This window comes from Homo sapiens, chromosome 10, assembly GCF_000001405.40.
Source record: "Homo sapiens chromosome 10, GRCh38.p14 Primary Assembly".
In the NCBI taxonomy this organism is placed as follows: domain Eukaryota; kingdom Metazoa; phylum Chordata; class Mammalia; order Primates; family Hominidae; genus Homo; species Homo sapiens.
The window spans coordinates 63,507,171-63,520,657 of record NC_000010.11 but is presented as its reverse complement, the minus strand read 5'-3'; the positions used below and the strand labels follow the sequence as shown (position 1 = coordinate 63,520,657).

General features: G+C 37.2%; 1 protein-coding gene across 7 annotated transcripts in view, besides 1 other annotated feature; it reads left to right on the top strand.

Moving 5' to 3' along the window:
- Nucleotides 1-13,487, top strand: part of JMJD1C (jumonji domain containing 1C) — a 354,666-nt gene that overhangs the window by 1,233 nt on the left and 339,946 nt on the right. The window lies entirely within an intron of this gene.
- Nucleotides 12-61: an enhancer, noted in NCBI's record as "active region_3441". NCBI's record gives its function as "activates an Ori minimal core promoter by ATAC-STARR-seq in GM12878 lymphoblastoid cells {active_cell/tissue: GM12878}" and the evidence as "EXISTENCE:reporter gene assay evidence [ECO:0000049][PMID:35858748]".

Here is a 13,487-nt window from a genome sequence, read left to right as displayed (position 1 = left end):
GGATTCCTGACCTGTCTTAAGATTTACAACTATATTACAGCTGTAAGATTTACAACTGTATTTTTTGGAGGTTGGGTTACTGCTTACACCTTGCTGTTCTTGCAAATATCATTTCAAGGGCAGACTTTTAAAACTGTTTTTTTTTTTTTTTTGTGACAGTACCAAATTGAGAAAATGATGTTAAAGTTTAGATATTTTTATTTTTTCCAGTTAAGACGATAGTAAAAGATAATTCTAGTATTCAGATGGTGCGAAGAATAAAAGATGAAATGTAGGCTTGGAGCCTTTAATTAAAGTCCTAGAAAATATGATGGCTTTTGTGACCATACTGTAATTTTGTCTTCTTGTTCCTCAGTTTCCCTGTGATAAAAAGGGGGTAATAATACTGTAGTCTGTCTCTTGCCTTTCAAGGGTGATATGAGGCACTGCTAAATAATATGTTTAGGAAATACTCTGACTTGCATGGAAGACAATCAAAGGACACAACAGATTATCCTAAATTATTTTCAGTTCTCAGTCAATAAATTGGGTAATATTTCATTATTTAAGAAACAAGCTCAGAAGCTACTTTCTACTCTTGGGTTAGGTTCTTTTCGCTTATTAATTCATGTCAAGACTTTTTATTTCAGGAATTTGAGTAATAATTTGCATTTAACTCTGAATCTTTTATTTTTGGCCATTATTCAGCATTATTTGAGGATCAGGTGTGCTGCATAAGCACCAGTTTTTTGGCGAACTCTCTTGTTCAATAAAACTCAAATGAATTTGAATATCATTCAGATCCCTTCATGAAAGGTCCTGAAATAGCTTTACAGCCTTTACTTTTACTACTTTCACCCCCAACTCCTAATGTACCCGTTCCCTACCTCTCTTCTTTCAGCCAACCTGTATTTTCATGCTCAGTGCTTTTGCCCAGATTTCGTTTTTCCCTTAACACTTTGCTCCCCATTCTGTACCTATCAGAACTCTCATTTTTCAGTGGCCTGTGCCATGAAGACATCCTTGGTTTTCCTCAGGGACAATTATTCCTAATTTTGTCTGTGCTCTCATAATTTATTACTTGAATTTCTATTTCTTATCTGTGTCATTCTGCCTCTACCATGTCTAATGTACTGAATGGTAAAATGTTTGAGAACAGACATGGTGTATTAGATTTCTTTGTGTTTTCCAACTATCTAGCCTCAGATAGGGTAAACGTCCAATAAAAATTTGAATAATGTTTGTGAAATACAGTCACTCTTTAGGCATCAGATTTAAAAAATTTCAGCCACGTACATTGGAAGTCTCTTAAAAATGTCTTTCTTGCCTTTTTACTTTGGAGGTCATCATTGTGAATATTAATTATTTCAGCTAATCCTAGTACATTAATGCCTTCAGGGGTTGCTGAAGGCAACCTAGGTAGGATGGCTGGCTGCTCTCTGAAATGTCCCTAGACTGCTGTGCGTTAAGTTTCATTTTGTATGCTTATTATATCTTCTGCCTCTTCCACATTTAGATTACTTTTTGCTGCTTTCTTTCTATTTACCTGGAACAGTGCCTTTTTTCACATCTCAATAGGCCATGGGTTGGAAACCACCTACTATGTGCTATACACGTGTCATTGAGTCATTCTGACAACTTAAAAAGCCATATAGCGTTTATTCCCTTTTGGTACCATGGAAAGTGAGGTTTAGAGAAGTTAACTCAACTGGCGGGTGATCACATAGGTCATTGGTAACAGAACTGGAGATCTAATTCATGCTTCCCAAGCTTGTTTACATTATACTGGGATAGATAGCGGAACTGTGTTTAAGGCGGTGGGTCCAGCTTGGTGTTGCCCTCCAAGGGGAAACTGGAAGGCATTTTTTAGATTGTTGTAATGATTGGAGCTAACAACTTGCATTTGTTGAGTGAAGGCTAGAGAGGTGTGGGACAGTCCTGAACAAAGTGTCCCCATGTCTTGCATGATTTAAGAATATCTGCCTGACTTTCATGTAGTATTTGTAATTATCAAAGCCTGGAACCTCCATCTTGCATCATGATTTTAACTGAGACTGAATTTTAACTGAGTCTGTTTCCACATGCAACGGTTATGTGAATTGAAGGAAGATTGTTTTGTTCACAACTTGACCAAGAATTGTTTACAGTTTTGGAAAATTGTATCACAAACAGCTCTGCATTCATAGATATATTCAGCTACTAGTTACTTCTTTAAGTCTTCTAGTGTAGTTTTGCCCCACGTCGAAATATATGTTATTATAAATCATTTTCATGTCTCTTTTCCACTCTTATTTAGGGTATATGGATTTGTTTGAAATTGTAGGAATATTGTTATTTTGTTTCAGGGTGGTAAAGCAGAAGTTGGAAAATATTTTATGCAAGGGGCACATTGAATCTGATGTGGTTGAGAACTGTTGATCTAAAGTAAGAGTAACTTCATCTGAGAAGAGTCTCTCATGAAAAGTGCCCAGATTTTAGTGGAGGGTGTTTATAATTTCTGTGTATTGGACTGTGTCTCAGATACACAGAAATCTGCCAAATTTATTAGCAGATAGTTGAGATTTGCTAAGAAATAAGTGGCCATTATGCTGGGTGCGGTGGCTCATGCCTGTAATCCCAGCACTTTGGGAGGCCGACAAGGGCAGATCACTTGAGGCCAAGAGTTCGAGGCCATCCTGGCCAATGTGGCAAGACCTCATCTCTACTAAAAATACAAAAATTAGCTGGGCATGATGGTGCACACCTGTAATCCCAGCTACTTGGCAGGCTGAGGCAGGAGAATCACCTGAACCTGGGAGGCGGAGGTTGCACTGAGCTGAGATTGCACCACTGCACTCCAGCTTGGGTGACAGAGTGAGACTCTGTCTCAAAAAAAAAAAAAAAAAAAAAAAAGTGGCCATTAGATAAGTACTTCACTGTATAAGATAAGGTGCTAGGGGCACTGGGAGAAAAGGAAATATAGTACCTTCTGCCTAGAAGCTTTTATAGTGTGGTCTCTTGGAGTGCTTGAAATCATTTCTTATATAGAAGATATGATTTCTTTAAGTACTGAACTTAATTTTGATTTTATACATATATCACTAATATTCATACATTGTGCTATATAAAGCGCATCCTTCATTGTGTTCTGCAAAGACACTTTTCTTCTCTGAGGAAGGCAATGTATTTAGGGCAAAGGACATTCTCACAGGAGACCTAGTTCTACTACCGGTAATAGGATGTTTGGTAAATCACACTGTATGTTTCCTGTTGAATATGGGGATGATACTGTTATGAAGATCAAAAATAAGAGGCTTTAAAATCTAAGGGTAATTAGACTGTTAAAAGCATTGGTTTCTCTTTTAAATATTAGTTTTCCTAGGAGATATGTGGAATGTGCATCTTCTGCATGTTAAAAGAGTTCATTTATTAGCAGAGCAACAGAGACTAAGAAAGTACCTAGGAGAGCAGGTAGTGAGAGCAGAATTAGAGGGTACAAAGATAATGTCTGATCGCTGTAATTATTAATGAGAATGCTAATGAGACTGAATACTAGGTCACCTTCGCATTTCTATTAAGAGAGCATTTTCAGTGGCTAAAAAATATATTTATTTGGAGAAAGGCTAAAATTACTAAATGAGTCTGTCTTTCATAGTTGTTTAGAAAATAGGGGGAGAGAGAGGATCTTAAGAAGACTGACATAACAGAAGAAAGCTGTTCTTTTTCTGTCTGCTGCTAGATGGATACCTCTTTTCTCTCAGGCAGTCGCTTATGGAATTATGGTTACAACAGAGGTTCAGTTTGGCTTCAGAGATTGAATGATAATGAAATGATACTGAAAATACAATGATCAGATAGCAATAGAATAAAAAGATTAGGTTCTGATTAAGTATTCACTATAGGTATTGGTAGAAAAAGATGGTGACTAGCTGACAACACAAAAAGTAAAATACATCTGTGATGGCTGGATCTGGGAAGCACACACAGTAAGAAATTGACATTATCTGAGATTCTTACACATTTCCAGTAGTAGCCTTAACTATAACAATTAAGGATTTAGACAGAAGCTTTTGTTTTTCCTTCATGGTAAAATATGGTTTTGTGTTTGACCATGTTAAGTGGCAGAGAAACATCTAGTTTAAGATAATTGAGGTACTTTTACTATTTATTTAAAATAGAATAGATTAAATCAGGGTTTTAAGCTCAAGATAGACTTATGATTTCAGGTATTCAGGTGCATATGGGGTTGTGGTATAATTTGCCAAATCTGAAATATTTGATAATGACATCATGTCTAGTAAGCAGAATTTCAACAGATTTCTGTTGATGTCTTGAGTGATAATTCAAAGCACGTGGAATAAATTTAAAAGGGAACAGTGAAAAATTAGTCTTTTTTTCTTCCCTGTTTCCAGCTACTCAGTTCATTTCACAGGCAGTCTCTGTTCCCAGGTTTTTTTTTTTTTTTCCCTCAAAGTCCAGAAACATACCCAATTATTAATAGATATTTAGTCTAAGATAAAGACAGCATTTTATGGTTTTTGGAACACGATGGAATTATTCAGTAAACGATGTGACAACCAGCCAGCCATTTAATAAAAACTGAAGAAAAAAAATTCTGATAGGTAGGAAATGGAAAAACTGAAAGTACCATAAAAGTACAAAAAAATAGATAAAGGTATTATATTCTTGATAGCAGGAGGACCTTTCTGTCGTAAAATCAGAAACCATAATCATAGATTTGAGTATACAAGAATTGAAACTCCTGTGCCTCCAAAACCAATATAAACAAGATTAAAAGACAGATGACAAACTAGGAAAAAATTTGTAAAACCTGACAGAGGGTTTTTTGTCTGATTTTTGGGTATATATCTTCATATACAAAGCACTCTTAAAAACTATTAAGAAGTAATCTCTGAAGACTTCCAATTTCCAGTGTAGCATGTAAGGAGCTCAGTAATTGCCACTTGGTCCTGACAACAAATAAATAACTGAACAAAATGAAGAATAGACAACACTTCTTAGATTCCTCAGATAAGTGAAGTCACAGGGCAAACCACATCCTCCAAAACTGGAGAGACAGACAGCTGGATACAGAGAATCACAACTACTGAAGCAGAAACCGAGGATCAGAAACCCCTGAGGGAACCAGTACCCGGGTAGGAAAATCTGAGCTGTAATTGAGGAGTTGCTGGAGGCTCAGTGTGGACAAGTCTGAGACCTAAAAGCTCCAGGGAGAGCCAGTCCTAAGGAAGCCCCCGTAGTTTTGTGAGATTTACTTCCTGGAGCTCTACCAGGTCCTCACAGTAAATATTTGAGAAAAATCCTCTTACGCTGTCAGCTGGAGAAGGGAGAAGTGAAACATTTTGAAATACACCAAGGTATTCTGTTCTTAACAAGGCCTGCCCTCAGGAGAAATTATTTCTCTTAGAACCAAACCTAACTGGGGAATGGGAAAAATGCAGCTCCAGTCAACTCTAGCCCTCCACATGGAGAAAAGGAAATTCCTAACTCCACCTCCCTCTAGACTTCCAGTTGTGGGAAGGGAAATAACTTCAGCCCTCTCCAGCCACCCTGTTCCATTTGAAGGGAGGAAAAAACCTGAGAAATGCTGGTGGAAGGTCACAGTCTAGAGGCACGGGCTCACCAGAGGACTGAGACCTAATCCTAGGCCTATAGAATGCTTCTCCTCCCCCATCACCCTAGTACTGCATTACAAAACACCTGTTTACTGTAGGCTTTAAAAAAAAAAATACTTAGTATTATTATGTCCACCTTTAACAAAAAATTACAGGCATACTAAAAGGCAAAAACTGTAGTTTGAGGAGACCAAACCAAACATCAGAACCATAGCTAAATATGGCAGGAATGTTGGAAATATCAGACCAGAAATTTTTTTACGTATTTTTACTTTTTTTTTAAGCTTTTATTTTAGATTCTGGGGTACATGTGTGTGGTCTGTTACCTAGGTATGTTGCATGATGCTGAGGTTTGGGGTCTGAATGGTCCCGTCACCCAGGTACTGACCTTAGTATCCCACAGTTTTTCATCCCTTCCACCCCCTCCCTCCCTCCTCTAGTAGTCTCCAGTGTCTATTGTTGCCATCATTATGTCAGTGAGTACCCAGTGTTTAGCTCCCACTTATAAGTTAGGGCATGCAGTATTTGGTTTTCTGTTCCTACCTTAATTTGCTTAGGATAATGACCTCCAACTCCATCCATGTTGCTGCAAAAGGACATGATTTCATTCTTTGTTATGTCTGCATAGTATTCCATGGTGTGTGTGTGTACTACATTTTCTTTATCCAATCCTGTTGATGGGCACCTAGGTTAATTCCATGTGTTTGCTATTGTGAATAGTGCTGTGATCAATATGTGAGTGCATGTGTCTTTTTGGTACAATGGTTTTTCTTTTGGTTGTATACCTGGTAATGGGATTGCTGGGTCGAGTGGTAGTTCTTTTAAAGTTCTTTCAGAAATGTCCAGACTGCTTTCCACAGTGGCTGAAGTAATTTACATTCCCATCAATAATGTATAAAGGTTTCCTTTTCTCTGTAGCCTTGCCAACATCTGTTGTTTTTTGACTTTTTAGTAATAGCCACTCTGACTGATGTGAGATGATAACTCATTGGGATTTTGATTTGCATTTCTCTGATAATTAGTGATGTTGAGCCTCTTTTTTCATGTTTGTTGGCTGCTTGTATGTCTTCTTTTGAGAAGTGTCTGTTCATGTGTTTTTGCCCATTTTTAAATGGGGTTATTTTATTTTATTTTATTTTATTTTATCTTTTGAGCTAGAGTCTTGCCCTGCCACCCAGGCTGGAGTGCAGTGGCGCGATCTCGGCTCACTGCACGCTCCACCTCCCGGGTTCACGCCATTCTCCTGCCTCAGCCTCCGGAGAAGCTGGGACTACAGGCTCCCGCCAACACGCCCGGCTAATTTTTTTGTATTTTTAGTAGAGACGGGGTTTCCCTGTGTTAGCCAGGATGGTCTCGATCTCCTGACCTCATGATCCGCCTGTCTCGGCCTCCCAAAGTGCTGGGATTACAGGCATGAGCCACCGTGCCCGGCCTAAATGGGACTATTTTTTGCTTCAGTTGTTTAAGTTCATTATCAATTCTGGATATGAAACCTTTGTCAGATACATGGTTTGTGAATACTTTCTCCCATTCTGTAGGTTGTCTGTTTTCTAACTTGATAGTTTCTTCTGCTATACAAAAGCTCTTTAGTTTAATTAGATCTCAATTGTCAATTTTTGTTTTTGTTGCAGTTGCTTTTGAGGACTTAGTCATAGAGTCTTTCCCAAGGTGCCAGTGCCCAGAGTGGTGTTTCCTAGGTTTTCTTCTAGGATTCTTATAGTTTGAGGTCTTACATTGAAGTCTTAAATCCATCTTGAGTTAATTTTTGTATATGGTAAAGGTAGGCATCCAGTTTCATTCTCCTGCAAATGGCTTGGCAGCTATCCCAGCACCATTTATTGAATAGGGAATCCTTTCCCCATTGCTTATTTTTGTTGACTTTGCCAAAGATTAGATGGCTGTAGGTATGTGGCTTTATTTCTAGGCTATGAATTAAAAAAAATATAGGATTAACATGCAAAAGGCTTTAAAGGAAAAAGTAGACAATATGCAAGAACAGATGGATAATGTAAGCAGAGAGATGGAAATTTTAAGAAAGAATAAAAAATAGTAAAAAATATTGTAACAAATGAAGAATTTCATTGATAGGCTCATTAGTATACTGGACTTTTAAAAATCTCTGAGCTTGAGGATATTACAAAAAGCTTCCAAAACTGGAAAGCAAGAAGAAAAATGACAGAGAAAAACTCCCTCAGAACAGAATGTGCAAGAACTGTGAGACAGCTGCCAAAGGTGCAAAATATACATAAGGAAATACCAAAGCAGCAGAAAAAAAGAAAGGAACAGAAGCAATATTTTAAGTAATAACTGAGAATTCCCCCAAATGAGTGTCAGATATCAAACTACAGATCCAGGAAGCTCAGAGAGCACCAAAGATGGTAAGTGCCAAAAATCTACACTTAGCCACACCATATTCAAACTTCAGAAAATCAAAGGTAAAGAAACCATCTTGAAAGAGGCCAGGGAGGAAAAATACCTTACCTATAGAGAAACTAAGATAAAAATTACATCCAACTTCTCAGAAATCATGCAAGCAAGAAGAGAATAGTGAAATATTTAGTGTTGAGAGAAAGAAGCCCACCACCTAGAATTTTATATCCTGCCATGTTGTGTTACCCTTCCAAAGTAAAGGAAGAATAAAGACTTACTCAAAGTGAAAATTGAGGGAATTTGTTGCAAATCCGATTTGTAAGAAATATGTATAAAAGACTTAAAGCAAAAATTGAGGGAATTTATTGCAAATCTGATTTGTAAGAAATATGTAAAAAAAAAAAGTTCAGAGAGAAGGAAAATAATATAGGTCAGAAGCTTGAATCTTAAAAACTTTTATATTCCTTGTTCATAATTGATCTGACAGATAACAGTTTGTTAAAATAATAATAGTGACCATGTATTCGATTATGCTTCTGTGGGTTTGTATATGTGTGTGTATCTATACATGGTACTTAGGTATAAGTGAAATGAATGACAGCAATGATGCAACAGATGAAAGAGTGAATTTAGGAATATTTGGTTATTATAAGGTACTTGGACTGCTTATGAAGTGGTATAGCATTGTTTGAGAGTGGACTTGAATGAGTTGTAAGTGTTTATTGCAAACTCCAGGGAAACCGCTGAGAGAAGTAAAAATTGAAAAAGAAGAAGGGGAAGGAGAAGGAAGGGAAAGATGAGAACAGTTATTCCTCAGTATACATGGGCAATTGGTTCCAGGGCTCCTTGAGTATACCAAAATCCTCACTTACTCAAGTCATGCAGATGGCCCTGTTGAACTTGTGTATACAAAACGTTGGTGCTACATATATGTAGTTTTCACATCCCACAAATACTGTATATATTTTTTTTTTTTTGAGATGGAGTCTTGCTCTGTCACCCAGGCTGGAGTGCAGTGGTGCGATCTCAGCACTCACTGCATCTTCTGCCTCCTTGGTTCAAGCAACTCAATTCTCCTGCCTCAGCCTCCGGAGTCACTGGGATTACAGGCGCCTGCCACTGCGCCCGGCTAATTTTTGTATTTTTAGTAGAGACGGGATTTCAGCATGTTGGCCTGGCTGGTCTCAAACTCCTGACCTCGTGATCCACCAGCCTTGGCCTCCCAAAGTGCTGGGATTACAGACGTGAGCCACCACGCCTAGCCAAATACTGTATTTTCTATCTGCTTTTAGTAAAAAGACATCTGCATATAAGAGGACCCATGCAGTTCAAACCCATGTTGTTTAAGGGTCAACTGTATAATCAATATGCCAAGAAAAGGGAGAAAATGAAATCATATAATGTGCTCAGTTAAAACCACAAAAGGCAGAAAAAGTGTAAAAGACGGAAATAGGAACAAAGAACAGGGGCCACACACAGAAACCTGTAATAAATATGATAGATACTAGTCCAGACTATATCAATAATCACTGTGGTTAAATATACCAATTAAAAGACAGAGATTAGTAGAGTGAATTAAAAAGCAAGACCCAACTATATGTTATCAACTAGAAACCCACTTTAAGTTTAAAGACACAAAGATTAAAAGTAAAGGAATGGAGAAAGATATATCATGCTAACATTAACCAAAATAAACTGAGGGTAGCTATATTAATAGTAGACTTCAGAGCACTGTACGTTATCAGGGATAAATAGGACGTAATGACAAAGGGTAAGTAATCCAAGAAGATACAACAATTCTTAATATCTATATGCCTAACAACAAAGCATCAGAATATGTGAGGCAAAAACTGATAGAACTACAATGAGAAATATATGAATGTACTATTATAATTGGACACTTTAACACTCCTGTATCAGAAATTGACAACTCCAGTAGACAAAAAATCAATAAAGACATAGTTGAAGTTGATAGCAGTATCAATCAACTGGGTATAATTGACATCTATAGACTACTTCAAATAACAGCAGATTACACATTCTTCTCAAGCTTACACGGAACATTCACCAAGATAAACTTCATTCTAGGCCATAAAACAAACCTTAACAAACTAGAGATCATGCCATATCTGTTCTCAAAGCACAATAAAATTAAATAGAAACCAGTAACTGAAAGATAGCTAGAAAATCCCAAAATATGTGGAAGATTAAACAACTTCTAAATAATACATAGTTCAAAGAAGGAATCTCAAAAACACTTAAAAATATTTTGAAATAAATCAAAATGAAAATACAGTTTATCAAAATTTGTGAGATGTAGTGAAACCAGAGCTTAGAGGGGAATTTATTGGATTGAATGCATTTATTAGAAAAGATGAAAGATCCAAAATTGGCCGAGCGCGGTGGCTCATGCCTGTAGTCCCAGCACTTTGGGAGGCCGAGGGGGGTGGATCACGAGGTCAGGAGATTGAGACCATCCTGGCTAACATGGTGAAACCCTCTCTCTACTAAAAATACAAAAAATTATCCGGGCGTGGTGGTGGGTGCCTGTAGTCCCAGCTACTTGGGGGTGCCGAGGCAGGAGAATTTTGTGAACCTAGGAGGCGGAGCTTGCAGTGAGCCGAGATCACGCCACTGCACTCTAGCCTGGGCGACAGAGTGAGACTCCATCTCAAAAAAAAAAAAAGATCTAAAATCAGTAATCTAAAGTTCCACATTAGGAAACAGAAAAAGAACACATCAAATCCAAAGTAAGTAGAAGAAAAGAAATATAATAAAAGTTAGAGCAGGAATCAGTGAAATGAAAATCAGTAAACACCTAGAGAAAATCAATAAAATCAAAAGCTGGTTCTTTAATAAGATTAGTAAAATAGGTAATCTTTTAGCTAGACCAGCTAAAAAGAAAGGATACAAATTACTAATATCAAAAATGAAAGAGCAGCATCTTTACAGATCCCATTGACATTAAAAAGATGATAAAGGAATATTATCACTGACCCTGTGCTTATGAATTTCATAACCTAGATGAAATGGACCAGTTATTTGAAAGGTACAATCTGCCAAAAGTCACACAAGAAGAAATAGACAATCTGAATAGGCCTGTATCTAGCAAAGAAGCTGAATCTACAATTAATAATCTTCCCAAACAGAAAGTACCAGGTCCAGATGGGTTCACTAGTGAGTCTACCAAATATTTAAGGAAAAACTTAAGCCAGTTATTCACAATCTTTTCCAGAAGACAGAAGTAGGGGAAATACATCTTAATTCATTCTGCCATTATCCTAATTCAAAAAACACATATTGCAAGAAAAGCCAAGTACATACTAACATCTCTTACAAACATAATGCAAAAATCCTCCACAAAATTAGCAAATTTGATCCAAAAATGTATGAAAAATTATATACCACAACCAAGTGGGATTTATCCCAGGTATGCAAGGCTGGCTTAATATTGGATAATCAGTTAGTGTAATCTAGCACATTAACAGGCTAAAGAAGGAAAATCACAGGGTTGTGTCAATAGATTCAGAAAAAGCATTTGATAAAATCCAACACTAATTCATTATGAAGACTTTCAGTAAATTAGGAAGAGAGAGGAACTTTCTTACCTGATAAAGAACATCTAAAAAACCCTACAGCTAATATCATAGTTGATGTTAAGAAACTGGAACCTTTCCTGCAAAGATTAAGCACAAGGCAAGAATGTCCCCTCTAATCATTGCTTTTCAGCATCATTCTGTTCTAGCTGATGCAGTAAGACAAAAAATGGAAATAAAAGGTATATAGATTGAAAAGGAAGAAGTAAACTGTCATTGTTCACAGATGACAAGATTATGAAGAAAATTCAAAAGAATCAAGAAAATTACTTCTGGAACTTGTAAACCACTATCACTTTCTCTTATTGCCAGCAGTGAACAAGTGGAATTTGAAATTAAAAACACAATACCATTTACATTAGCAACCCCCAGAATGAAATTTATAGGTATAAATCTAACAAAATATATACAAGATCTATGTAAAGAAACCTACAAAACTGATGAAAGAAAACAGAAGAACTAAATAAATATAGAAGTATTCTATGTTCATGGATAGGAAGACACAGCATCATCAGAATGTCAGTTCTTCCCAACTTGATCTATAGATTCAATACAATCACAGTCAAAATCCCACTAAGTTACTTTGTGGCTATCAAGAAACTGATCCTAAAGTTTATATGGAGAGGCAGAAGATCCAGAACAGTCAACACAATATTAAGGGAAAAGAACAAAGTTGGAGAATTGACACTGCCCAAGTTCAAGACTTACTGTAAGACTGCAGTTATCAAGACAGTATGGCACTAGTGAAAGAATAGACCAATAGATCAGTGGAACACAATAGAGCCCAGACACAGACCCTTGTAAATATAGTCAAATGATCGTTGGCAAAGGAATAAAGGCAATACAATGGAAAAAAGATATAATATTTTCAAAAAATAATGTTGGAATAACCTGACATTCACATGCAAAAGAAATCAATCAAGACACAGACCTTACACCAGGCAGATTACAATCCAAGATTGTGTCTTTGGTGTAGTATCTAGAAAGTCATTGATAAGACTTGATAAGCTGGAATTTCATTAAAGTTAATTTTTTTTTTCTCTGCAAAAGACACTGTGAAGAGAATTAAAGGACAAGCCACAGGCTGGGAGGAAAATATTTGCAAAAGATATATTTGATAAACGACGACTACTTAAAATATACAAATAATTCTTCAACGTCAACAGTAAGAATATAAACAACCTGATTAAAAAATGAGCTAAAGACCTTAACAGACGCCTCACCAAAGAAGATTTGTAGATGGCAGGTAAACACGTGAAAAGATGTACCACATCATATGTTGTCAGGAAAATGCAAATTAAAATGTGAGATACCACCATGTACCTATTAGAATGCCCAAAATTCAGAACACCGATGACACAAAATGCTGACTAGCATATGAAACAATAGGAACTCATCCATTGCTGGTGGGAATGCAAAGTGGCACAGCCACTGTTTTTTTTTTTTTTTTTTTGAGACAGAGTCTTACTCTGTTGCCCAGGCAGGAGTGCAGTGGTGCAATCTCAGCTCACTACAACCTCCACCTTCCGGGTTCAAGTGATTCTCCTGCCTCAGTCTCCCGAGTAGCTAGGATTCCAGGCATCTGCCACCACTCCTGGCTAATTTTTTGTATTTTTAGTAGAGACAGGCTTTCACCATGTTGGCCAGGCTGGTCTCGATCTCCTGACTTCCGGTGATCCCCCCGCCTCAGCCTCCCAAAGTGCTGGGATTACAGGCATGAGCCATCGTACCCGGCTGGCACAGCCACTTTTAAAGACGGTTTGGCAGTTTCTAACAAAACTAAACATACTCTTAACCATTTAACCCAGCAATCATGCTTCTCCGTATTTTCCCAAATGAATTGAAATATGTTCACGCAAAAACCTGCACGCAAATGTTTATAGCAGCTGTATTCATAATCACCAAAACTTGGAAATAACCAAGATGC